Below are 27048 nucleotides of genomic sequence, written 5' to 3'. Positions count from 1 at the left end.
CCAGATCTGCCAAAGAGGAATACAATTGCCTTTCCTGACATTTCATTCACCAGAGAAGAGAAGATTACAATTCATATTACAGAGGAAGAGATTGAAAATTAAACACCACACCTAGAGCCCAGGCCAACTTCTTCCCAAATCATTGTCAGCTCTCCATCCCATTCAATTTCCATTGAAATTATTTACTAACCATTTAGGCCCACTCGTTTCCCCCTCAAAATCATTTATTATCCCTCAAGTAGCCATATTTCCCCCTTTTCCCTCCCCTACGAAGACGGGCATTTAAGCATCTGTACCCCATTGGGTTACTGGGTAACCATTCTACTATGATTCCCCTGTGTTGTCCATATTAAAATAAATTTTGTGTGCCTTTTTTTCCTATTCACCTGCCCTTTGTCAGTTCATTTTCAGCAAACCTTCAGGGGATGATGGGGCAAGCTCTCCCTCTTTGCCCCTACACATGTTCCAGTATTTAGATGGTATGAACATCTTATCCCATGCTTGAAAGGTATAGCCAAAGGAGTCTGGCATTCCCACCCTTCCCTTCGGCATCCCCTCCTGCCATGAGTAGCAGCCCAAAGGAGAGACATGTAAAGTCGAGCCTGAGTTACATAACAACTGCCAGATGAGATTTTAAACACTTTAATACATGTGCTTCTACATGACTGGATGAAATTCTCTCCACAGGAATTCCTTTCTAGAATACTACAATGGTTAATGTTGAGTGCACTTACTGCTGTGCTCGGAAAGACCTGTAGATGTAAAAGCTTCATGCAGCAGGACTGGTGTTGGCTCTGTTTCACACCGACCTCTAGCACCTAGTACAGCACCCAGCATACAGAAGGCATTCAGTTTTAAAAGGGTGAATGCATAAATGATTGCCTGATTGCACAAATGTTACACAGATGATGAGAACAAAGTGGTCAACTGCAAAATGTGATGTGGAGGCTCCTTATCTGGACAGTAACTTACGGACATTACCGATAAATGGATTAAACACAGTCGTCTGTGGGTACCAAGCAGAAAACCAGCCACATTTGACCAAATGGAAGATCAAAGCCAGCTCCTAACCAGCAGCATCACACAGCACTCCTTGGGCAGCAAAGCCCAAGGGGATACCAGTGGTCACGTAGCCAGTCCTCAAGGTCTTTTCTTCATCAGAATATTTCTTCACTGTCCTCTGGCTTTTTTCCTTACACAGATGCAGGCAAGAAGCTTTGAAGCTTTGTTTACACAAACAGAAACGAAGACCATAAATCAGCCAAGCATTAGGCTTGGGGATGTCCCCGCACAAACTTCTCACAGAAACGCTCTCACCATTGACACAGCCCTAGCACTAACCCAGACACCGGGATATGTCACAGAATCAACTGCAGACCACAATGGACAACTCTAATTGGTCCCTGACTGGCCCGCCAGGCCACCATCTCCATCCTCACTCAGGAGATTTCTACAGGTACCCCTGCAAGGGCTTTCTAGCATTTGGCAAGAATTGGTATTGACTTATCCTTTTCCCACTGCCCAATGCTGTCTCTACACCTAAAACATGTGCCAGAGCCAGGTGAGAGGCAGCATGGGGTTGAGAGGAATGTGCATGTGCTTGGAGTCTCATAGCCATGGATGCAGGATGGCCATGGTTTCAAAAGTTGGTCCTGTCGTATATACAGGGTACATTCTTTTTTTTTTTTTTTTTGATATGGAGTCTCACTCTCTGTCACCCAAGCTGGAGTGCAATGGCATGGTCTTGGCTCACTGCAACCTCTGCCTCCCAGGTTCAAGCGATTCTCCCACTTCAGCCTCCCGAGTAGTTGGGACTACAGGCACATGCCACTACACCCAACTAATTTTGTATTTTTAGTAGAGATGGGGTTTCACTATGTTGGCCAGGCTGGTCTCGAACTCCTGACCTTGTGATCCACCTGCCTCAGCCTCCCAAAATGCTGGGATTATGGGCGTGAGCCACCGCGCTCGGCCTCCAGGGTGCATTCTTGAGCAGCTTGCTGGTACTCTTCAAAGGCTTCGTTTCCTGACTTATTAAACAATTACAGAGATGTTCTGAGATCTAAATAACCAGCTGTGTAGAAGTACACTGAAATATGCTCTAAGTGTGCCAACGTTGTTAAGATCCTTACAACAGAAGACTGATTTTATTCTTTGTTAGAGTTCGGGCTCTTAAAGCTGCACTGTTCCCAAAGGCTCAAGAGAAGGCAATGTGACATAGTGAAAATGCCATCTTTGAAGTCAGTAATACCTGAGCTCAAATCCTAACTCATCCACTTACAACAATGTCTTTTTAACCCTCTTGGTGCCTCAGTTTCCTATCTGTGAAATGGTGAGAATAATGACTACCTTATAGGGTGGTCATAGGGTTAAAGAAGGTTATCTATGTGTTGCATTCAGCACAGTGCCTGCTAGAGAGGAAGTATTCCAACAGGAGGCAGAGCTATAGCTGCTGTTATAAGTATTGGTATCTTTTCATTGCCACTACCAATTAATGGGCTGGTGTTTAAAGGAATGGGAATTGACACAGGCATTACCCAGCTGGCTGAAAGATGAACAAGGCTCCCGGTTTTCTTAGCTCATTGGCATAGACAATGCAGAGGAAAATCCATGCTTGCTACTGCAATACAAGGACACCATCAGAAGCTGTGCTGGTGTTACCAAGCGATGATGCAGGAACTTCTGTCCATGGGCTTCTTAGCGGAAGGCAATGATAACAACAGCTGATGTGTACTGAACTCTGTTTAGCAACCATAAGCGAGGTACTCCTCTAAACACATCCCTATAAGATAGATTATAATCATCTCCATTTTACAGAGGGGAAAACCAAGTCTTAGCCAGCCTAAATAAATATGCCCAAGTTCACATAGATCATTGGTGATAGAGCCAGATTTAGTAGGGGGCCAAGCTGAATCCACCACCTTTTGCTCTCTGCTCAGAAGCAGGCTCTGACAGATTCTAAGAAATGCTTAGGCTTCAGACCTGTTCCCCAGCCCAGGGTCTTATTGGAATGTCACAAAAAATGCTGCCCAAGATAACCAATGTCCAGAATCAACTTTCAACCCAAGCTGAAGGGCTGATGAGTCACCAGGCCAGACTGGAACAGCTGGCTGCACTTGTGAATACTTCTTACCATGGTAACCACTCTGACAGATGGCAGGAAACTCAGGATTCTCCTTGGATCATTTTCAAAGGCTCTAGTTTACATGTTGGGGCTAAACTAAATTGCTCTGGGGCAGCCCCCAGGCCAAGGTTCCTTTTATTTATTTATTTATTTTTAAATATTACTTTAAGTTATAGTATACATGCGCAGAACAAGCAGGTTTGTTCCATAGGAATACATGTGCCATGGTGGTTTCCTGTACCTATCAACCCATCATCTAGGTTTTAAGCCCCATGTGAATTAGATATTTGTCCTAACACTCTCCCTCCCCTTGTTCCCCACTCCTCTATTTCAAAAGGAGGCTTTCCTGATACTATTGCCATTGACGAGGTTACAAAATAAGCCTTCCCTGTCTTCTCCACACTTGGACAGCTTTAACTAGATATTGCAGCAGGAGACTTCCAGATTATTACCCTTTTTGAAGTGACTTTGTTACTGTTTTAAATAACTCCATTTTGCGGCTACCTGTATCCTGTTCGGCTGATTACAGTTAAAGAACATGATAATTGCCTGCTTTCATTTGACTCTAAAATCAGCTCTGAGAATCATGCCCAGCCCAAGACTGGTGCTGTGTGCAGCTGCACTCAGCAGTGGGGGTGTATTCTTATTACAGATAACATGCCTTAATCCCCATGACATCACCACCAGGCTACTCCAACCAACCTTATCATTAGCATCGCTGTGTGCCCACATGGATGGTGGAACTTTGAAACTTTAAACTTTGACAGAAGGCAGATACGGCCTCTGAAGAAACAACTCAAAGCAATACAAACAAAGCCTGGTAGCCCTGCACCCATGCTGGGTAGAGCCTTGGATGACAAACTCATGACATTAAGACATGTTTAAAGCCATTTTGCTGATACTGTTCTTTCTTTTCCAACTAGACAAAAATCCTGACCAAGAAAAATATTTGCTCTAAGAATTAGCAGGCTGCATTTTAACAGCATAAGCTCAGCTAATTTAGGCTGGCTAATTTAGGGGTGGTTAGCAACTGTGGGGCTCAACATTTATTAAACACCTACTATGTACCGTGAGGCCAGGTAATTTTCCTGTAATGATTCATCAAATTAGCTCACTTTGGCTAAACAACTGGCCTAAAAACAATCTTGAAACAGCTTAATGTCTGCAAATACAGCCCTAAAAACAGGACAAGGGAGGCATTAGACATAGAGACCTATCATGGGACATAATTAAGCAATTCCGAATTGAAAAGTCTGAGAAGCAAAATGACTCACTAAGGTAGCATGTAAAAATATGTCTTCTTTGTTGCGCTATAAAATGTGTCCTCTGGGGGCAGCTTTCAACTTGCAATTGAAAAGGCATGGGGGAGGAACATAGGAAATTCTTAACAAAGAGACCGTCGCCATGGGAAGCCCTTACTCATTCTTACATCTCAGAAAGCCAGGAAAGTAGAAGGCTCAACCTGTTGATAGGAGTGCTAATAGAAGATTCAAAATGTGCTCTCCCTTCTCTCCTGCTCGTATCAGTCATCATCTCATCCCACAGCAACTTCTTGCAGAGATGGCACTGTTCTTTAAGATTGGTGCAGTGTCTCTAACACAGCAGAGGCAGTGAATTTACAAAACCCTGGTCCTACTGCCTTTGAGCCCTCCAACTGGAAATTAGTTAAACAACTTTAGCTGGCCGGGCGCGGTGGCTCACGCCTGTAATCCCAGCACTTTGGGAGGCCAAGGCGGGCGGATCATGAGGTCAGGAGATCGAGACCATCCTGGCTAAAATAGTGAAACCCCGTCTCTACTAAAAATATAAAAAATTAGCCGGGCATGGTAGCAGGTGCCTGTAGTCCCAGCTACTCGGGAGGCTTAGGCAGGAGAATGGCGTGAACCCTGGAGACGGAGCTTTCAGTGAGCTGAGACCACGCCACTGCACTCCAGCCTGGGCGACAGAGCAAGACTCCATCTCAAAAAACAAAACAAAACAAAACAAAACAAAACAAAACAAAACAAAACAAAAACCAACTTTAGCTAATGAGCACCCATCATTAGCCAAGAATAAACCACACAGGCTATCAGGACCTCCCAGGGTTCACTGCTGAACACTGAATGGGGAGCAACAAGAAAGCGTCACTCATTTGGTGGATTAAGCAGAGGGTCTGTTGGCACCAAATCAACACCTTTCATCAACAGGTGCTGATAATATAAAGAGAAACAAAATTGTAGATACTGAGATATTAATCCCATCAGCATCTTACCCAGGTAAGAAGAACAGTAACCATAAGAATTAATTGATTAAAGGCCAGGTGTGGTGGCTCACGCCTGTAATCCCACAACTTTGAGAAGCCAAGGTGGGCCGATCACTTGAGGTCAGGAGTTCAAGACTAGCCTGGCCAACATGGCAAAACCCCATCTCTATTAAAAATACAAATTAGCCTGGCGTGGTGGCACGCACCTGTAGTCCCAGCTACTCGGCAGGCTAAGACATGAGAATTGCTTGAACCCAGGAGGCGGAGGTGGCAGTGAACTGAGATTTGTGCCACCGCACTCCAGCCTGGGCATGGGCAATAGAGCAAGACTCCATCTCAAAAAAAAAAAAAAAAAAAGAATTAATTGATTACTTTCTGTCAGCAGTGTTGACATTATCTCTGATGGTCATATTTTATATAAGGGGAAACTAAGTCTCAGACAGATGAAGTCACAGGTCCAAGATTATCAGCACGCTAGTAATCAAAGGGGCTGGATTATTAGTCCAGGTCTCATAGTTTAAAGCTGCACACTTAAACTGCTTCCCAAACATGAATTCCCAAGGGATATCTTGCTCCTTAGGGATCTCATGGGCCTCTGATGAGGCCTCATCGAAGAATCTGGAAAATTGGATGTAAACTCACTCTCAATTCCTAAGGCATACACATTGGCATTTGTTTAAAACAGTGATTCTCAACGTTGGCTGCCCTTTGGAATCACCTGGGGAACTTCAAATAAATTTTCTTTCCTTTTCTTTTCTCTTTTGAGATGGGGTATTGTTCTGTCACCCAGGCTTCAGTGCAGTGGCACATAGCTCACTGTAGCCTTCAACTCCTCAGTTCAAGCGATCCTCCTGCCTCAGCCTCCTGGATAGCTAGGACTACAGGTGCATGTCACCATATCTAGTTAATTTTTTTCTTTTTTTTTGGGTGGGGGTGGGTAGAGATGAGGTTTCACGTGCTGGATGTGGTTGCCCAAGCTGGTCTCGAACTCCTGAGCTCAAGCACTTCCCCCACCTAGGCCTCCCAAAGTGCTGGGATTACAGGCATCAGTCACTGAGCCGGGCCAAAGTAATTTTATATACATGATGATACCTAGCATCTCACCTCCTATCTGCAATATTTCATTAGTCTGGGGTGGGGCTATTTTTTAAGCTCCCTAAGGAATTCTAATGTGCAAACAGGTTTGACAGCCATGAATTTTAGAATGTGATATACCTCACTTGCATTTTCTTGTGTTGTTTCTTCCCCTCTCACCTTAACTGTAAGTAGCTTGCAGGCAGGAACTGGACTTTATTTATTTTATTTTTTGTTTTGTTATACTTTAAGTTCTGGGATACATGTGCAGAATGTGCAGGTTTGTTACCTAGGTATACATGTGCCATGGTGGTTTGCTACACCCATCAACCCATCATCTACATTAGGTATTTCTCCTAATGCTATCCCTCCCCTAGTCCTCCACCCCCTGACAGGCCCCGGTGTGTGATGTTCCCCTCCCTGTGTCCATGTGTTCTCATTGTTCAACTCCCAATTATGAGTGAGAACACGTGGTGTTTGGTTTTCTGTTCTTGTGTTAGTTTGCTGAGAATGATGGTTTCCAGCTTCATCCATGTCCCTGCAAAGGACACGAACTGATCCTTTTATATGGCTGCATAGTATTCCATGGTGTATATGTGCCACATTTTCTTTATCTAGTCTATCATTGATGGGCATTTGGGTTGGTTCCACTTTAAAACCCAGACGCATCCTCCCAGGGCTTAGTACCAGTCTGGACACATTCAGGGGTACTTCCTTGACTCACCAAATAGGAGGTGCCACCTGCAAACCTCAAGGATAAACAGTTTCCCATTGTCCTGGAGAGCAGCACTGATTTGATAAACAAGTGTGAGTGCCCCAGAGCCAAGAAGAGAGGGTCCTCTGAAAGAAGGTGGCCCTGGGGAGACCAACAAACTTCAAGCATCAAGACAGTCCCTGTCCCCACTCAGAGCGGATGTTGCTCTACCAACCGCATTTGCTTTGCTCCTGGGGCAAGTGATCAAATTCATGGGTGCCCAGTAAATGCACCTAGCTGCCAGCTGGTTTGCCCATTCACGCAGCCCCTCCCATGGAAATTAGCTTCACTTATGAAACTGAAGGGGAAAATGGAATCACAATTAATTCAATATAGAAAATATTAAATTTCTTTTGTCTCCTTAGAAGGAAAAAGCTGAATTCTGCTTTGGGAATGAGTTAATGCAAAACCCATTTGAAGCAGGAGAGCTGATTCTGGGGAAGCGTCCTTGGGCTCTGCCACATTCGTGAAGCCAGGTCCATATTTCATAGCAACTGCACCACAATGATGCCTGTACTGCACTTGGCAGTGTGGGGCATGTCATTGAGGCTTAATAAATGTTAGTACCTCTGAGTGTTGGTATTGCTGCTGTTATGATTATTATTCATAAAACCCAACAGGTGTTATTGAATGTTCCTACTTCCATTGTCTGGGGTCAGGCAGGCACACGGACAGGTGGTTAGAAGGTGGCTATGACAATCTGTGTTCAGGACCGCATTGGGCATGCTGTGGGGAGGGAAGACTAGGAGAAGAGTTATGAATACAGCCCCATCACTCAAGGAGTTCCAAAGGGGTTATCAGAGGAAGCCAGAGGACTCATATAGTTTGAAGCAAACTGGGGCATGCTGGATGTGGTAGAAACTATCAGTAGTTTCACAATAACTATTCTCCTCTTCTGGTGAGCAGAACTCTGACTTTTTAATATGCACATTTCCCAGGTTCCTTTGTAGTGAGGTAAGGCCAAGTGATTAAGCACAAGTATTGTATGGGAGGCTGCTTAATACATTAAAAATCTTATTTAAAGCATTTATTAAAAAGTAATTTGAAACTTGGCCTTTTGGAGCTTTTGGAACTCCCTGAACTCTTCTTTTGCAAGCCTGAATTGCAGATATGATGGCTGGGGCTCAGCAGCTACATTGAATCATGAGGTAACCTTGAACTTAAAAGCCATCTTGGAGAAAGGTAGAAGAAAAAGTTGTGGTCCTGGGTCTGTAACGTGAGGGTCCCAAATTAGTATTTTTAGACTTCCTTACCATAAGAGATGAAAAAAGACCTCTTATGTTCTTTAAGTCGTCCCTGTTAATTTGGATTTTCCTGTTATTTGTGGCTGGACCAATTCTAACTAATACATTGGACTCTAAGTTTGATTAAAAAACTTTCTTTGGCCAGGTGCAGTGGCTCACACCTGTAATCCCAGCACTTTGGGAGGCTGAGGCAGTTGGATCACCTGAGGTCAGGAGTTCAAGACCAGCCTGACCAACATGGCGAAACCCTGTCTCTACTAAAAATACAGAAATTAACTGGGCATGGTGGCGGGCGCCTGTAATCCCAGCTACTCAGGAGGTAGAGGCAGGAAAATCGCTTGAATCCGGGAGGCAGAGGTTGCAGTAAGCCAAGATTGCACCATTGCACTCCAGCCTGGGTGACAAGAGCGAAACTCCATCTCAAGAAAAAATAAATAAATAAATAAAAAGAAAGACTTTCTTTCTCTATCTCTTAAGGCAGAGCAAATATGAATGTAAAAAGAAAAACTCTGCAGAAGATATGCTAGTCTGCTCCAACTATGGAGAAGACATGAATGGTTATCAGGAGAACATGCTCTGGAATCTGAGAGACATGAGTTCAAATTCTGTCTTCTCACTCATGCCTGTGAGAGAGCTTGACAAGTTGCTGGGAGCCTCCACTTCTAGTCCCTTGTTTGTCAAATGGAAATAATAATAGTAGTTACTTCATGGAATTGTGATGGGAATTAATTAAGGTAATGCATGTTAACTGCCTGGAATAATGCCTTGCCTATAGTTAGTATTTAATAAGTGAGACAGACTGCATGATGATGAAGATGAGGGCAGTTACTGTTATTGCTGTAACTGGGGATGCTCAAGCAGCAGCTTTTGGATTTTAAAGAGTGGTTCATTGGAAGCTCCATGTCTCTGCCTTCCAGAAAGTTTGGCCCAGAAATATACTTGTCCAAACCAATCTGTCTCCTTGTTCCCTTCAATGCCACCTCTGACAAAGCATAATTCTGAGGACATGGTCAGGTCAGCAGGAAGCCACGAAGCCATTACACTCATTACATGAGTTGTTGAGTATTAGACATCAGCGGGGCAGTCGGCATTAAAGGCGAGCAGCCATCCAAACATAACAGAATTCTCCTTTAACACTCTCTACACTCCAAGGCCAGGGCACTCGCTGAAGTGTAATGTGATTACCAAAGACAGGGAAAGCTCCCAAGTCCCACCACACAGAGACAGGAGTAGAAATGATACAGATCTTGGATTCTACCTGGATGTGTCACCTTTTAGAAAGGTGATTTAAATAGCAGAAGCTGCCACAGGGAATTCCACACAAGCCAGCCATGTTAATGAACACTTGTGGGGTGCAGCGACAAGGACATTTGCCAGATCCCATAGGGAAAATATGAATGGCCTTGGACAGGTAAAAGCTCAAGCGTGTTGCACCAAGCACAGCAGAAATACAAACAACAAAAACCACGCAAAACCACACACACACACAAAACACACACACACACACACACACACACACACACACACTAGCAGTTGCAACCAAAAAAAAAAAAAAAAAGAGAGAGAGAGAGACAGATAAGACAATGGCCATGAAAGATAGGTACTACTGGTGGCTCGACGAGAGCAGTCCATTTCCTGGCAAGCCAAGGGCCAGGTGTGCTCCATTGGTCTTTCTGGCCTCCAGCATAATCAGATAGACAAAGAACAAGGGAAGAGCCTTTGGTCTTTCCAGAAATCACAAGTATGTTGGTAAAAGCAAAAAACCCAGGGCAAACCCTCAAGTTCTGGATATTTGATAACAGCCACATTTTCATCCTTCAGTAAAGATTTCTTTCTTTACCTGTTTTTTGAAGGCTCTTGCTCTTTCCTTGGGCTCCATATTGAACTCATTTCAACTTTCCCTTCGGTCTCCCTGGCTCAAATGTCCTAAAAGTCATATTTGTGCTTCTCATGTAACAAATGGCACTTCATGTCCAGGTTGGTGCCCAGCTCCGCAGAACTCAGGCAAGATGTATTACATTACTTACAAGGGGAAGGGAGGAGAGGAATTGGAAAAGGGTGGAAGAGCCTTTGCTTTTTCATGTCTTACTAGCAATCTGCTAGATATTTTGCTGGAGCAAGGTGCCCTACCTGAGATTAACCCAGAGTGTTATCCTTGCTGTCTATGTGCTTAGTGTTTTGCCCTAGCATCAGTAGTTCCAGTGCCCCCCAGGGGCCTCTAGGAGAGTAAAGTGCTAATATGGTTTGGATCTGTGTCCTCACCCAAATTTCATGTTGAACTATAATCCCCAATGCTGGAGGTGGGGCCGAGATTGGATCATGGGGGCAGATGGAAGTGATTGCATCATGGGGGCAGATTTCCCCCCTTGGTACTGCTCTTGTGATAGTGAGTGAGTGCTCACGAGATCTCGTTGTTTTAAGGTGTTTAGCACATCTCCTCCTCCCTCTTCCTCCTGCTTCAGCCATGTGAAGACATGCCTGCTTCTCCTTCACCATCCGTGATGGTTGTAAGTCTCCTGAGGCCTCCCCAGCCATGCTTCCTGTACAGCCTGTGGAACTGTGAGTCAATTAAACCTCTTTTCTTTGTAAATTACCCAGTCTCAGGTACTGCTTTTTTCTTTTTTTTTTTTTTCTTGTTGTTCAGGTATTTCTTTATAGCAGTGTGAGAACCGACTAACACAAGCACCATCAAGACACTGAAGGTGGGGGCCCCTCCCATCACACCCTAAGGGGAGGATGCAGGGACAAGAAGATAATCCAAGAAGCTGACCTCAAAAAGATGGGCTGGGGGCTCTTCCCTCTAGGAAGAGACGGATTCAGACATTGCTTAGAAGTCTAAAAAGAGGAGAAAGAACAGAGGAAACAGAGAAAGGTAGAAGTTGTGGATCAGAGAGGACCGCCAGGAGCTCTCACTTTGTGATATGATTCATTTGTGCCAGCTGATTGTGTCCTGCAGGGATCTCCCCTGTGGTCACAATGGGAGACATCCAGGAAGGAAGCTGAGTGCCCACACTCAGGAGGGTGGGCTGTAGGCATGTATGTACCTTTAAGCTGGGGACACCTCAGTTACTCACATATCATTCCATATATCCCTCACTTGTAGGTATATGAATAATTATTTTCATCCTATTTTGCTGCAAAGATCAGGTGACTCCTAAGAGCGTAGTAGCTAGACTGCTACCATGCTTTTAACCTCGTGTCTTGATGCTGGCTGCACATGAGAATCACAGAGAAGCTTTTAAAGAGCACAAGTGCCTGGGCAACATCCCCAAATCAACTTAATATACGATTTCTTGGGCTGCAGCTTGAACTTGGAGTGTTTTTAAAGGTCCCCAGGGATGCTAACGCACAAGAGAGTTCAGGTCCATGAATCACCCCAACACTGTGCTGTAAAGGTAACTGCTATGTAGTAACTATCCTTTGGGGGTTATTAGTGATAAAATAAGACAAACAAACAAAACAAAACAGGAGAAAATTGGAAAATAAGAAGAACTCAGACATATGGAACTCTACTCAAAAGGTATTCTTATCTCCTGTTTGCAATGGCTTTGCAATTTGAAAAGCATTTTAACATATTGTATTTTAGTTAATTCTCAGAAAATCCATTGAGATCCCTATTTTGGTAATGAAGAAACAGGCTCAGAGAGGCTGACGACACCGTCCATGGCCACACAGTGGAGAATCTTGTGCTCAACCTGAAGTCTTCTTATTTCAAGTCCAGAGTATCACAAAGGCCCCGTCAGGAACCTTGAAAGAAGAAGACTCCTATGACAGGCTGTATTTTCTCCCTTTTCCCTAGATACATGACAACATTGAATTTGCATTACCAGGGGTAAACAAATTCTAATGAAAGGATTTTGAGACTAGATTTTCTCTTCATAGTTGCAAGAGGCCGGGCATGATGACTCACACCTGTAATCCTAGCACTTTGGGAGGCCAAGTTGGGGGGATCACCTGAGGTCAGGAGTCCAAGACCAGCCTAGCCAACATGGTGAAACCCCGTCTCTACTAAAAATACAAAAATTAGCTGGGCATGGTGGTGTGCACCTGTAGTCCCAGCTACTCGGGAGGATGAGGCAGAAGAATCGCTTGAACCCAGAAGGCGGTGGTTGCAGTGAGCTGAGATTGTACCACTGCACTCCAGCCTGGGCAACAAGCGAGACTCTGTCTCAAAAAAAAAAAAAAAAATACTCGACACTTTTTGAACACAGGGCCCCACATTTTTATTTTGCACTGGGCCCTGCAAATTGTGCAACTGGTCCTATTTATGCCTGTCTCAGAGTTACTGGAAAGCCTGCAAAGAGGTAAGATCTGTCAAGGACAAGCCAAGCCTGGAGTCTGGTGGGTGCTCAGCGAACGCAGCCATGATTATTACTGTCATGCTGCTGAACCTATTGGTCTGTGAGTTGGATCCTGGATACTAGGTCATATGTAAGCTGGCTAGAGTCAGGTCAAAGAGTCAACTAAAGTGCCCAAGAGTGGTCAATTTTGCCTCTTAGATTGTTTCACACGCTGCTGTGAGACTTTCTCAAAATTCTTTCAAGTTGTTAATTTGTTCACATAAATCAGTGGTTTTCCTTCTGCCTGCACTACAGACCCAGAAGTGGATGTTCTTTCCCTCTGATGGCACTGTCAGGTAGAACAGCCAATGGGTCACGAGGTGAGTGGTCAGAATGGTCAGGGGAGAGGTCTGCTGTCACCCAGACAAGCATCACCTTGCTTCCCTGGAGAGAGGCAGCAAAATGACCAAGACAGAGAAACAAAGGGGAGGCTATGAAGGGAGGTAGTGCTCTCCTCTTGGAGCTCTGTCTTTCTGGAGAAGATGGTTTGTGGAGTTCTTGTGCATGAAACTTGTTTCTTTCTTTCTTTCTTTTTTTTGTTTGAGATGGAGTCTCGCTCTGTCACCCAGGCTGAAGTGCCGTAGCATGACCTCGGCTTATCGCAATCTCCGCCTCCCAGGTTCAAGCAATTCTCCTGCCTCAGCCTCCCAATTAGCTAGGATTATGGGCACACACCACCATGCCCAGCTAATTTTTGTATCTTTAGTAGAGACAGCGTTTCACCTTGTTGGCCAGGCTGGTCTTGAACTCCTGACCTCAAGTGACCCACCCATCTCTGCCTCCCAAAGTGCTGGGATTACAGGCGTGAGCCACTGCACCCGGTCTGAAATTTGTTTCTTTAGGACTGGGTATAAGACTATCAGATAAAGAAACTGAGGGCCAGCCCGGTGCTGTCCAAGATGCTGAGATGAGGGGTCAGCACAGTAAACTGATCTCGAGTTTCACCTGGGCTAACCACAGCACCAGAGCAACGCAGCTTCATGTAACCCATGTTTGAGGGTGGGCTCAATTCAATATGGTGCATGACTTCTGATCCAGAGTGCTGTCAGTTACAGCCAACTATATCCTTTCACTGCTTCTGAACTATAGATCTTCTCTGAATGACAGGAGTGTCAACCTTATGCTCTGAGCAAGCACTGCATGCTGGGAAAGGCAAGGGCACAAATGTGTGATTGCAAGGACTGTGGTCCTCCAACACCAGAGACCCATCATATGGTGTCATAGGAAGCCTGTAGGGAGACGTGTAAATGTAGATGAAGCAATACCTGGTGCTAAGTGGAAAGCAAATTCAAGACAGAACAAAGATCGACAACAAAAATCATGGCTGCAGCTCACAACTAATTGAGCTCTTCATACATGCCAAGTTCTGTGCTAAGAACTTTATGCTTACTATGATCTCACTAGCTCTGACAGCAACCCTTGGAAGTAATTATTGTCATCTTCATTTTCCATGTAGAGAAACCAGTGTTTGGAGAGGTAATCTGACTAAATCAAGCAGCTGGTAATGTCAGAGCCTAGATTTGACCCCAGTCTGTCTGACTCCAAAAATCAAACTCTCAATGCTCTACTGGCCCCAGTGAGGAGGCCCGTCAAAGAAGCCCAGGAGGTTTGTCAACTTGCTCCTGGATGACAGCAGTTGCTGTAATAACTGAGTTCCCAGCCCTTCCTTTTTCTCAAATATGTTGGCTACTCTTGTAGTAAAAGGAAGTTCTAGATTCATGCCAACTGTACTTCACCCACATGAAGGAGAAGACTAGAGGTTCAAAATTCCATTACACCCTTTCTCTTTCTCCCACCAAACAGTTTGAAAGGAATATCCAAGAGGGAGAGGAAAAAATAGGTTTGTTAAAGAAGTTGAAAAATGTGCTTTCAAATGAGAAACACGTGTGCGATTATTCCTCATCTTTTGTCTCCTCCCCCCACCAAGTTGAAAAGAAGTTAACATGATACAAATGCACACATCCACATAAAGATAGGAAAAGTCAGTGGTGCCGTGGATGGCAGGCCAGGAGCTGCTGCAGGAAGCTTGAAGAAGTGGTGGAAAACTCCACAGCCACTCCAGCCCAGATCCAAGCAGAGTTTTCAAGCATGTGTACAATGACTCCCAGCAAAGAAGAAAACTGTACTTGAATTTTTTTTAGAAGGGAAGGGAGCAGGAGGGGACGATCTGCTACAGGCAGGCCTGAGAGCAAGCAAGTATGTCAGAGATTGCAGAAGTGCTGGCACTAGGCCAGGTTCTTATATCATTTCTTTTTTTTTTCTTCCCTTCTGGCACAAACAAGCTATGGAATTTCAAACACTGGGTCATCATTTTTGAATTCCCTGCTTTCAGCAAAGTGCTCAGTTGGTCTTGTTGACTAGCTTAAAAGTCTGATTTCCTGAGCTAACACTTCCTAGCCATTCAGCCGCAGAAGAGTAATAAACCAGGGGCCTGCCTACCCACTGGCCACCGATGTGCAATGGATCTCTCAGGGAAGCTGGAGGGCCATCCTTGCATTTCCTGCCATTATATATTTAACAGCATCAAATATGCCCATTAAAGCACCACTTGAAAGGCTAACATTCTTCCTGGGAGGCCAAGGGAAGGGAGACAGCATGGACCCCCAGGGAGGCATTCTAACACCCGATCTCATGGGATGATGGCTTTTCCCAGAAGTTTAGGTATTCCCAAGAGCATGGCTGGCCTGCCCATGAGGGACATGGGGCCATAAGGAAGCTGCTCTACACAAGCTTTATTCAGGATCAGCGAGAGTTCTTACACCTGGATGAGTAGTCAGTATCTGCCACCTGTGGAATTTGGCACCATCTAGGTTTTCTTCCAGAAGCAGACTTAAACTTACCTCCATCAAGAGCGGATTTTGAGAATTTTCACTTGATTTTCTAAAACAACATCAAGAAGTCTCTAAATACCACCTTTCATCCCCAAGTTCCAGATTTCTAGGGAGCTTCCCAGGTTAATCAATAGGAGACAAAATACACTCCACCCTTCCGGCCAGGTGAAAACCTTTCCTACTTCTTCGCAGTGACTTGCTTCAGACTGACATAATCACATCACAGTGCAGCCTCCTACTTCAATACTGGCCTCCAATAAATGCTCTGCTGGGTGAACAGGAAACTCATTGTGAACTGAGTTTCTAAGACTCTAACACTCTAACACTCGTGCAAGAGGCATCGAATTTCAGAGAGATCTTTTGGAGCATGAACACAAGTAAAAACCAGCCACAGGGTCAAGTCTGGGCTTGCTTTATTTGACCTTGGCTTGTTTTATTTTATTTAGGAAAACTTTTGGGGGGAATGCAGTGGACCATAAAACCCTTACCTTTTAAAGGAGCCCATTGTTAGCAATTTGTTCATCACAGCTCCCTCGATCTCACCAAAAAAGTCTCCAGTCTATGGGGAAGAAGACATATGAGGAGGTGTAGATAAATAATGTGCCCAAACAGGAGAGAAGAAATGAAAAGGGACACAGTCTGTGTCCTGGAACTGACAGGAGCAAAAGGCAGGTTTTCAGGAAAGTGGAAAAGGTTTTAACAGTCATGAGAACTCATGGGATTACACAGCAAACTAGAGAGCAGATGTGAATGCTTCCACAGTACGTGGGAGGGGGCTGCGTAACCCATGCTGAATGCTGAAATTAAAACACGCATGCACACACATGTGCACACACACATACCCCACTACCCTTGGATGGAGTAGGTAGTAATATGCACATAATCCCGTGTGATTAAAACACTACTTCATATAGGCAGAAACAGACTATGAGAGGGCTTCCTAAGCACTAATAAAAAGAATTGTTTATAATTCCTGGACGACCTGTTTAGGGAAATACAGCAGTCCACTTCATCAGCCCAATAAAGTTCCTGCAGTTGAGAATCCACCCTTTCTCAGAATCACTTTCTGAGGATCACTTTCATTTTGTCATAGGCAGTTGACATGTTGACCAAGAGTAAGACTATCCAGCCCCTTGAGGAGACAGCATGGCCAATGAGACTTCTAATGGCCTACCCCACACCTGAGGCTGTCTTAAGGTCATTCGAAGCTTTGCAGTCATTCCCCACCACCAGGCTGATGTTTTTGTAAGTCTACTTCTTGGTGCTGGCCAAGATTTGCAAACTTTGGTGGAATGAAGAATTAACATCCTCATGCATGCCCTCTGAATTTCTGGAGCTACTATCATGCAAGGTGTCCCATGGGGGAGGGCGTACGCAGTGCATGGAACAGAGCCTGCAGTAAGGGCCTTCTGCCAACATGCTGAAATGAGCCAGTGTTGACCAGAAGAGAAGCCCCATCTCTACTCTGGGTGCTCTGAAGATTTGTAGCTTGTGAGTGGGTGGGTGGGTGGGTGGAGGGCACTGCAATAAGAATCCAAATTATGTATATTCCGTAGGCTTTGTATTAACTAAACCCCAATTCCATTGCAACTAACTGAGTGACCTCAACCACACTCCTGGGAGTTTTCAGGTAGCAAGACACATATATAAACTTTGGCAAAATGTAAAGGGGGAGAAAAGGAGGAAGAAGGAAACAACATTTCTCTGACTGAATATTGACCACTTCCTTTTTCACTACAGGGAAACTTGGAAACTTTTGCAAACTCTGTGGGCGTGTACTACTGCTAGGAGCAAGAAGGACATTTGTATTTCGTGTGTGTAATGTGCCAGTTTCAATGAAACTGGTTGTTAGATGAAGAATTATCCTAATTGGGGCACAGGAAGTCAGACAACATCAAACAAGCCCAGGCTGAGCAGGCTGGCAAACTCACTGGGTCTATCGCAGGCTTATTCCATGGAGACATAGAGCAGAGAATCTGTAGTGGCCATGGCTGCTCATGGCTGAAACAGAGACACTGTTTCCATCATTTGTTGGCTGCTCCAGGACTCACCCCCGGAAGACATCCACTGCACCCTTCCTGAGCCCCGGGATCATTCCTCTCTCACCCCTACATGAGTAGAGCAGAAGACTAGAGCTCCTCCCTCTAGGCAACTAATGTGTATTCTTGCTCCATAGATTCTTGAATGCCTATGTTCCTCCTCCCAGCCAACAGGGCATATAACTATAGGCCAAAGGACTTTCCTGCTGTCTCAGGGACTGGCCTTGTTTCATGGGCCCATTCATCCTATCTAATGTCCACGGACTGTCCCATGTCTAGTGATGTAAAGCATCAGAGGAGACTGGGAATGGGCATTTTGAGTCTCAATAGCGCAACCAAGGGGCACTGAAAATCCTACAACATTCTCATAAAATAAGACAGGAAATGAAAGCACAATTCCTCAAGTTTCCTGGAGCCCCTGTTTATAAATTACCAAACCATTCATTTCAGACCCTAAGAAGCCACACTTAAGGACAATTAACTAATTGATTAAGCAGTGAACCTATCATACTGCTGACTACTAAAGAATTTTAAATGATTTAAAAGAGACTTCATTATAATGTATTAGTATACTCAAATATTTGAATTAGAAGAAACCTTATATCGTCAACCATCCTCATTGCACAGAGCCTATCTAGAGGTCTAGACAAGTTAAGGAACTTGCTGATGATCCCAAAACTAGTTAAGGAAGAGAGCTAACATCAGAAACCACCTTCCTCCTGTGATGGCGTTACTTTATTATATGCACTGTTGAACTTGTTTGTATTTTACCTTTTTTTATACGTTAATGTAATTTCTAATTGCAGGAAAAGTTTTAATGCAGAAAATTTGAATGGAAAAACTCGTTTTTCTATTACAGTACCATCGACTTTAACTCTTATTTTGATTTCCAGGCAGAGTGGAGATTTCTGTGCTCAAGTCCACAGCTTGGTTTCTTTTCATCTCTCTCCCTCCCACCCCTACACTGCACATGGTGCAGTCAAATGAAGAATATTCCTCTTCTATCTCTGGACCCTTGTCCCTCGGTGTTGAGAGCCCAAGCTGTTAATCCTTGAACTCAGATAACTGATTTTTAAAAAGCAAAAACCAGAACGAAAGCCATAAACAATAATTATGTAGAAACATACGTGTATGTGTGTGCACACATATGAAGATGAAATATCGGAAGGAAAAAAACCTTAAAGTTGCCCAAACTATTTAAGGCACCCCACCCTCGAGGCAAAAGTTCTTTATGTGGCACAGACAACTCTTTGGCTAAGAGTTCTATAAATTGAACATTTTATGAGTGAGAGAACAGACCCTGGGCACTGTCACCCCCCTGCACCCCCCAGTGGGAGGTAAAAACTCTTTGGGGCCTGCTGAGAAGCAGACTGTGGCATTCTTAGAGGGATGGAAATAAGGTTTTATAATCTCCTGCTATTACCTCCTAAATAAAGATCATTGTCTCCAAGTTTTAACACCATAATTTGTTCCCCCTGACCCAAGCACATTCTGAGATCCTTACTTGGAGCTGGTAGAAAATTTTCACTCACCTGTGTGTAGTCTTCAGACACCAAAATAAATCCATTATTGTCTATGAGGTAACAATTCACAGTCTAGAAAATTAAAAAAAAAACAAAAACAAAAAAACAGCTTCAACTTCGGGCCATCACACTGCTTTTAAACAGAATGACACACTTCCAACCTTAGACAAACTTATTTTTTTGGAAAGCAATTGTTTTCAGGCAATTGCAAAAGCCTGCTGGTTCTAGGCTTTAAGGCCACGGTTAAGATAACCCCGGTGTTTACTTTGCAAAACTAACAAAAATAAAAGACTGAACGAGTCTTGAATGATCCAGATTGGAATAAAATTGCATTAAAAAATGATGAATTACAGTTTGTCTTCCTTTTTTTTTTTCTTTATATGACCTGAATAATATTTCCCAGGAACAAAGTGCTCAGAAGCCCCCAAGCCTGTATTGGCGGTTGAAGTGCAGGCTGTTTTGAAAGCAAAACGCCAGCACAATGTCATTACTCTAATGATGTATTAATGAAAACACCGTGTCAGCTCAGAGGACCATCAGGGGACCAGGTAATATTTTTTAATTTGTTCATAGACTGAGGCAGGGGGGAAGGGGCAGACTTCTGTTAAAGGGGCCCCTCAGGCCTCCTAAAGGTTTTCAAACTGTGTTTTTAATTGGGAGCTGGATTTGGGGGCAGGGCCGTTAGCTTTTGGTAGCTCAGACTTATAAATTGTAGAAAGCAAGGTAAGCCCAAACCTCTGCTTCCCCCACACTACTTTAATCTCAAGTGAATGATTTGCTACAGGCTAAGTTTTAATTACAGTGCTGTGGAGTTTAAACTTAAGGTTTAATTCCGTCCTTGATGTAACTCAGTTTCTATTTATTACAGCTTTACATACCAACTGCAACATTTAATTTGTAACATATCTTTACTCTGAGCTAAATTCCGCCTAGCTCCAGGCCACCACGGGGCTGATGTTTTCTGGGACATTTGCCTATCCACAGGGGTGGTTTTGGTTAGGCACAAAAGGGCAGCAGTGAGTTGGTCAGAATGGTCCGTCCTTTATTACTAGACAGTGACTGTGCAGAATCAACAGAAAATTAAAAGCCCTGCTAGCACCTCTTATAAAAGAGTTGGCTGCTCTGGTGAACAGCAGAGCTTCTCCTGGTTATACAAAGGGATCAGATGAATTACTTGAGTAACCTGTTCACAGCTTTGCTATTTGAAGAAGCTCTTGGCCTCAGGGAAACTACCTTGGTCCTGGAGGGAGTCTTGATAAGCTTTCTCCATTGTCAGGAGATAGCATCATGGAAGCAATCTCATAGAACTGTGTTTCTAATATGGTAGCCACCAGCCTTATGTAAATTTAAATTTAATTTCAACTTAATTAAAATTAATGCAACTAAAAATTCAGTTCCTTAGTTGCACAAGTCACATTTCAAGGGTTCCACAGCTACCTCTGGTTAGTGACTACACTTTTGGACATTTATATCATTGTGGAAAGTTCTTCTGGACAGCAATGTCTTAGATTATACTAGTACTACAATGAGTTTTAACCTAGTCTACATTGGGTCATAACAGACAACTCTGTATCCTTGCTGATCTGAATGTCATTGCCAGAAGCATTTGAACCAGAGCAATTCCATCTTTAGAGGCTGGAGAAAATGAGGCTAAGACCTGTTGGGCTGCATTCCCAGAAAGTTAAGGCATTCTAAGTCACAGGATGAGATAGTAGGTCGGCATAAGATACAACAAGTCATAAAGACCTTGCTGATACAACAGGTTGCAGTAAAGAAGCCGGCTAAAACCCACCAAAACCAAAGTGGCGATGAGTGTGACCTCTGGTCGTCTTCACTGCTATACTCCCACCAATGCCATGACAGTATAGAAATGTCACGGCAATGTCAAGAAGTTACCCTATTGGTCTAAAAAGGGGAGGCATGAATCATCCACCCCTTGTTTAGCCTATAATTAAAAAAAAAAAAAACATAAAAATGGGCAACCAGCAGCCCTCAAGGATGCTCTGCCTACAGTGTAGCCATTCTTGATCCCTTTACTTTCCTAATAAACTTGTTTTCACTTTATAAACTTGCCCTGAATTCCTTCTTACATGAGATCCAAGAACCCTCTCCTGGGGTCTGGATCAGGACCCGTTTCCAGTAACATCTTTCTGGTGAATCCCAGGTGGATGATACTGAAGAGACCCCCAACCCAAAGGAAAATCATCTGCATGCACCAGTTGACTGACTTTGGGTAAGTGGGGTGCATCTACCTGGGTAAAGGATGGGACTGGGTTAGAGGCCCAACTTAGGGGAGTTAAGAGTCTCTCCTAAGGCAGAGTGGGCTAAAGGCTCCTATTAATGAAAGGCAAAGATGCTTGATCAAACTTGGGTTCAAGGCTCAACTCAGGAAGGTTAGAGTCATTCCTAGGATTTAGGGGGTTAGAGGCTCCTCTCAGTAAAGTCCCTCTCAGCTAAGAACGGGTTTGGCACTATGGAATGTTAACTACTATTCTCTTTGGATTAATCTGTCTTGCACTTGTTGCTAAGGGCTATGGGTGACAGGATAAGGCATGTACAGGACCACAGGACATGGGGAGCTTTTTCCTCCCCCGAAAAAGGGAAACTTGAGAGCTGATGGGACTGCCAGAAAACATCCCTTCACTACCGACAAGTGGCCACCTGAACTTTTTAGTTTCACTGCAATAGGTGAGTCTTTTTCTGGCCTCCCTGAGCTCTTCACTTTCCCCACCCTGCCACAGGCAGTGCTTTGCTCTCTCTCCTTTACCTTTCTTATCTTTTCTGTTACCCAGGGCCACCATCTTGCCCAGAGGCAACAAGTTGAAACTCCTGGTCAGAGGTTGGATTAACAATGATGGGACCCAATGGGGGGGCAAGTATGAGCCTTGCCAGTTTGATACTGGGCGCTAAGCAAAGGGGCTAATGTCTGTGTTTTGTCACATGTATTTTGCTCTGGCCAGAATGGAAAATCATTTTCCTTTGTGTTGCGGCTTGGCTCCCAGGGCTGTGGTCCAGCCAGCCCGGTCACTACGGCTGCTCAGGGAAAGGGAACCCAGAAGCCTGGGATGCCAATAAAAGGGTAAACATTTCTTACCAGTCAGACTTCTAGCCTCTTTTTCTCTCTCTCCCCAGCCCCCCTTTCTCTCTCTCTCTCCTTTTTCCTCTCTTTCTTTCTCTCCCCCTCGCTCCCAATGGGTTGAATGAATGGTAAAAATCACTGTTTAGGTAAAAATTCTCTGTAAAGGATTTATCCTCTGTTAGGTAAAAAATCCTCTGTAAAGTTTTGATAAATGGGAAAAAGGATTTGTGAGGCTAGTCTTAAACTGTAGTGAATCTGGTGTGCTGTGTGTGTCTTTCTGTATTGTTCTGTCATAAAAGAGGGGTACTCTAAGATACAGTGCGAGCCTAGGACTCCCATAAAACCACTGTTCAAGAAGGCGCAACAAACTGGTCAGTTAAAAACTTTGCTGCACATCCCTGAAAAAAGAAAAAAGAACTGGATGACATTTCCCTATTGTCTTGTATGTCCTTGGAAACTTGACCTTGTAACCATGTGACTGTGCTTTCTCTTTTCACCATGGCAGCATGGGTTCAGGGTTCAATTCCTGGTTTAGGGAATGAGTCTTTTATCTTCTGCCTGTCTGTGTATTTATATGTGTTGTATGTGTAATATAAAAGAGCTTTGATTCATTGGCTTAAAAATAATAGGTGCTTAAATCAAATATTGTCAGAAAAGTAAAAAGTGTAATGTCTTTTAGTTCAGGTGACTTTAGTAATCTTTGGGAAATAAAGATAGTTTTAAAGATTATTGATAAAATAAAAATACCTTCAAAAATGTAAACATTTGGTCTAAATTATGCAAGTCAGATATTAGCTTTGCTAAATATTTTAAGGTCATAAACTGCTTCTTTGATTTTTGAAAATTGTTCAGCTTACCTATTTTGCAGCATTAGACTCTAGATAAGGCCTGGGGACATATGGAGAGTCATGCCCTCTAGTTATGCTGGAAACAGTCAGACCTTATGGTGTCCTAGGCTCGGCACCTAGTACATAATTAAAATCCCTTACTTACCAAGGTTTTTACCAAAAGTAAAAGTTGCTAAGAGTTAACACTGTAACATGTATTTGAGACCACCAAGGAAACAGTTCTACACTCAAGGTGTGTAAGAAAAGTAGAATATATTTTGGAAGGTGGATTTTTTCTGCCTAGATTAAAGGGTTAAAGGATTGTTTTAAGTTAGGATAAAGCTAAAAGTTTGAATGACTTGTGGAAGGTTTGTAAAAAAATTAATGGTAAAAGAAATTCTGTGTGTGGACATTGACTAAAGTTAAAGAGGTAGTATTCAGTTTTTCTGTAAATTAAACACTGGAATAAAAGCACAACAGGTTTTTCTTAGAACACTGATCTGCTCTTTCACAAAAAAATGTAAAGGGTTATACAAGGTTTATGAAAATCTTACCTCGTGGTCAAACTGATTAAGACTGAATACATTTGTCTATAAGGTTTTATTAAGAATTGGATTTAACATTAATAGTACACTAATGCAAAGGTAAAACTTGGCTTATTTGGTATAAAAATCATAACAGGAAGCATTATCAAATGTGAAACAGTGTTTGGCTTTCTTTGGGATATATTTATATAGTTGTGCTATTGGTATGTGTTCCAAAATTATAAGAAGTCCTATAATTCTAACATGGCTTACTGTATGTTATTAATAGTTATAATTGTTATGTAAGATTTGGATGCCACAGAAGTAACCAAATTTCTTTATCAATTGTGGCTTTAATAGTGGCTGTCCTAAGACTTTTTATCATCCACAGACAACTGTTGTCTTGTTTTAATCTTCTTCAAGAGATGGTTTATAATCAACTATAGAACTCTGACAGTGCTATTGAATGCAGATTTCTGATAATGTTGGAGATTGTGACATTAGAATAGAGGAAGAAAGTTTCAGGACTCTCACAGAGAGCTGAAATGTTCATGACAGAACAGGAGTTCTGTTCAAGCAGAATAGGAGTCAACTGCATGAACTGAACTAATAAAAAACTGAAGTAATATTTTTCTTTTACTTTTTTGCTTAAAACATTGCTGATCCTTTTTGTTTTCCAGGGCCAAGAAAATTTTTCTTTTGAGCTATTTACAGCTTTTAACAATTGAGTAAACTATACTTCTGCGAAAAAATTTAGAGAATATTTGTTTCTCTCTACCTGGTTCCTCCAGAATTTGGAAACTATTTGAGAGTATCTTAACTTATGGCAATATAGTTATTTGCATAAATGCAGTAAGAATCTCTTTTCTATTGTAATAGGATACAACTGGAGAAACTGGTTATTTTACCAAGGCTTTGACTGGAATGGTGTGTTTACCTTTAAGGAATCAAACTTGACTTAGAGAGCCAAGAAGAGCCCCTTGAAAAAAACTAGCCTCATACCTTGTCTACACAGTCCCTGTACAGGGTTCCTGACCTGTGGTAAGTAAAGAATGTCACCTTCTGAAAGGCCCAGGAGCCCCAAGTTATTTTGGGACCTCAAGAGGAGAAGAATTTACTCAACTCATAGATATCTGGGGTACAAACCCATGGCTAGGCTTGGCTTTAAAAAAAAGTCTTATCTGAGATTCCCTCTATGGAACAAAATTTCATCAAAGACAAATTTAAAAGCCTATGTGAAAAATAATTATTCTTGCTGCACTGTATACAAATAATCAGGCCAAGTATAATAAAGCAAATTAGTCTTACTATGATTTGTCTCCAGCAAAAATGGGAAACTAGAGAACAATTATGTTTCAAGAACTGTGGTATAACCTGTTATTAAGTTCTAGTCTCATCAGTTGATTTTAAGGTTTTTTTCTGTAATTTAGGCCAACCCTGTTTATTCCTGTGAACCAACCAGTGATCTCTTGACTGCTGCTCAGAAGAAACAACAGGGATGGGTAATGTAAAAATCTGGATCAATATTCTAATTCTGGGCATGTATTGGAATCAGCTAGCAACCTCATATCAGCTTGGTTCCAATAGTTGCCCAGTTCATGGAACGCCTTATTTAGTTTACTTGGGATAATTTTACTTATTTTGTTTTACTGTTTTGGAATACGTTGCTATTGTACTCTTTGTGTAGAAATGCTGGACAAGCTTACTAAATGTTTTCTTACACTGAGCACTTTTTAATCTTCTAGATATCATCTTTTGTCAGAACTCGGAGTCATGAACGGCCCTTGCCATACCAATGCTTTCTGACTGAGCTCCTCTCTATCTACCCTGAATGCAAGAGACCCAATAGTTAGGCAGGAATGGCATTGCCCCTATCAGCTTGAAGAAGTTACAGAAGATGCATCTTTATCCCTCTGCAACCCTTAGGATTAAGGGTTTTCTTATAAAAGGGACGGGGGAAATGTTAGAGGTGTTTGAACCAGAGCAACTCCATCTTGAATAGGGGCTGGGTAAAATGAGGCTGAGACCTATTGGGCTGCATTCCCAGACGGTTAAGGCATTCTGTGTCACAGGATGAGTTAGGAGGTCAGCACAAGATACAGGTCATAAAGATCTTGCTGATAAACAGGATGCAGTAAAGAAGCTGGCTAAAACCACCAAAACCAAGATGGTGATGAGAGTAAACTCTGATCATCCTCACTGCTACACTCCCACCAGTGCCATGACAGTTTACAAATGCCATGGCAACGTCAGGAAGATACCCTATACGGTCTAAAAAGGAGAGGCATGAATAATCCACCCATTGTTTAGCATATCATCAAGAAATAACGATAAAAATGGGTAACCAGCAGCCCTCGAGGCTGCTCTGCCTATGGAACACCCATTCTTTTATTGCTTTATGTTCTTAATAAACTTGTTTTCAGTTTACTCTGTGGACTTTCCATGAATTCTTTCTTGTATGAGGTCCAAGAACCCTCTCTTGGGGTCTGGATTGGGATCCCTTTCAGGTAACATCATGATGCTCATTCTGCAGATACAGACAATGAAGCAAGGGGCGGCTAACCTCTGTTGAGTCAGTAAATACATGTTGAGTACAGAAGTGGCCTCCATATTCAGATACTGTCAATATTCAAATCCCCACAGCTGCATATAAGGCCACAAATCATCATAACCTCTACTCCTAGTTAAAACTTAGTCCCTACTCCAACATCTCTAACTAATTAGTACTCTTGCTATTAGACCTACATCTTTGGTCAATATCTTTCTGTTTGCCTAATACTGTAAATATTGAGCAATGCAATACAGGTACAAGGCAAATAGATTATAAAGTCAATTGAAAATCTTGACAAAGAGGCAAGATTTCATGAAGTCCATGAAAGTAACGTTAAACAGCTCCAATCGCACAGGAAGCCATTGGCACATTAGAATCTGTCAGAGGCAGAAAGATGAAAAAATACCTGCTACAAATAAAACATGAGCTGTACTTCCAAAGAGAATAATTTCAACAGCAAAGGACTAAGAAAAGTACCCTAGGAAAATTGATCAAACTCTTTACTATATTTTACCCTTTTTGTGGTCATTCTGAGAAAAATCAAAATATAAAGTGAAGGATTTCATATTGTGCTATTTTATCATCTTATCAGAAACACTAAACTCCTGGCCCCTTACCCCATTTGTTTCTTTGGAAAATTAGAGTACAATTGCAAATATAACCTAAATTTATTTAAAAAATAAACACAGTTTCATACTTTCCACTTTATTTAGAGAAAAATATTCAAAATAACTTTTTATTATTTGCTGTAAACATTTGGTTCTTTTTCTGACCTTTCTTCTTAGAACGAGGCCCTCCTTATAATGCTCCTTATAACAGCCAGCACCAGTAGAAGGGAGATCAGAAGACTCACTTCTCAGGCGTCTGCCCTGCTCCCTCCCACTCCCACTTCTGGT

General features: G+C 42.8%; 1 protein-coding gene across 1 annotated transcript in view, besides 1 other annotated feature; it reads right to left on the bottom strand.

Annotated features, from left to right (window-relative positions):
- Window positions 1-27048, bottom strand: part of CACNA2D3 (calcium voltage-gated channel auxiliary subunit alpha2delta 3) — a 952006-nt gene that overhangs the window by 70707 nt on the left and 854251 nt on the right. The window contains exons 30-31 of the mRNA NM_018398.3: window positions 19181-19243; window positions 16098-16168 (exon numbers count right to left, since the gene is read on the bottom strand). Of these exons, the coding sequence (NP_060868.2) occupies window positions 16098-16168; window positions 19181-19243 (134 nt within the window). The remainder of the gene's footprint in view (window positions 1-16097; window positions 16169-19180; window positions 19244-27048) is intronic.
- Window positions 19318-20403: an enhancer, noted in NCBI's record as "VISTA enhancer hs1436". NCBI's record gives its function as "enhancer in: hindbrain (rhombencephalon)[6/12] | limb[11/12]" and the evidence as "EXISTENCE:transgenic organism evidence [ECO:0001131][PMID:17130149]".

This window comes from Homo sapiens, chromosome 3, assembly GCF_000001405.40.
Source record: "Homo sapiens chromosome 3, GRCh38.p14 Primary Assembly".
NCBI classification, from domain to species: domain Eukaryota; kingdom Metazoa; phylum Chordata; class Mammalia; order Primates; family Hominidae; genus Homo; species Homo sapiens.
This window is presented reverse-complemented; position numbering and strand designations above follow the sequence as displayed.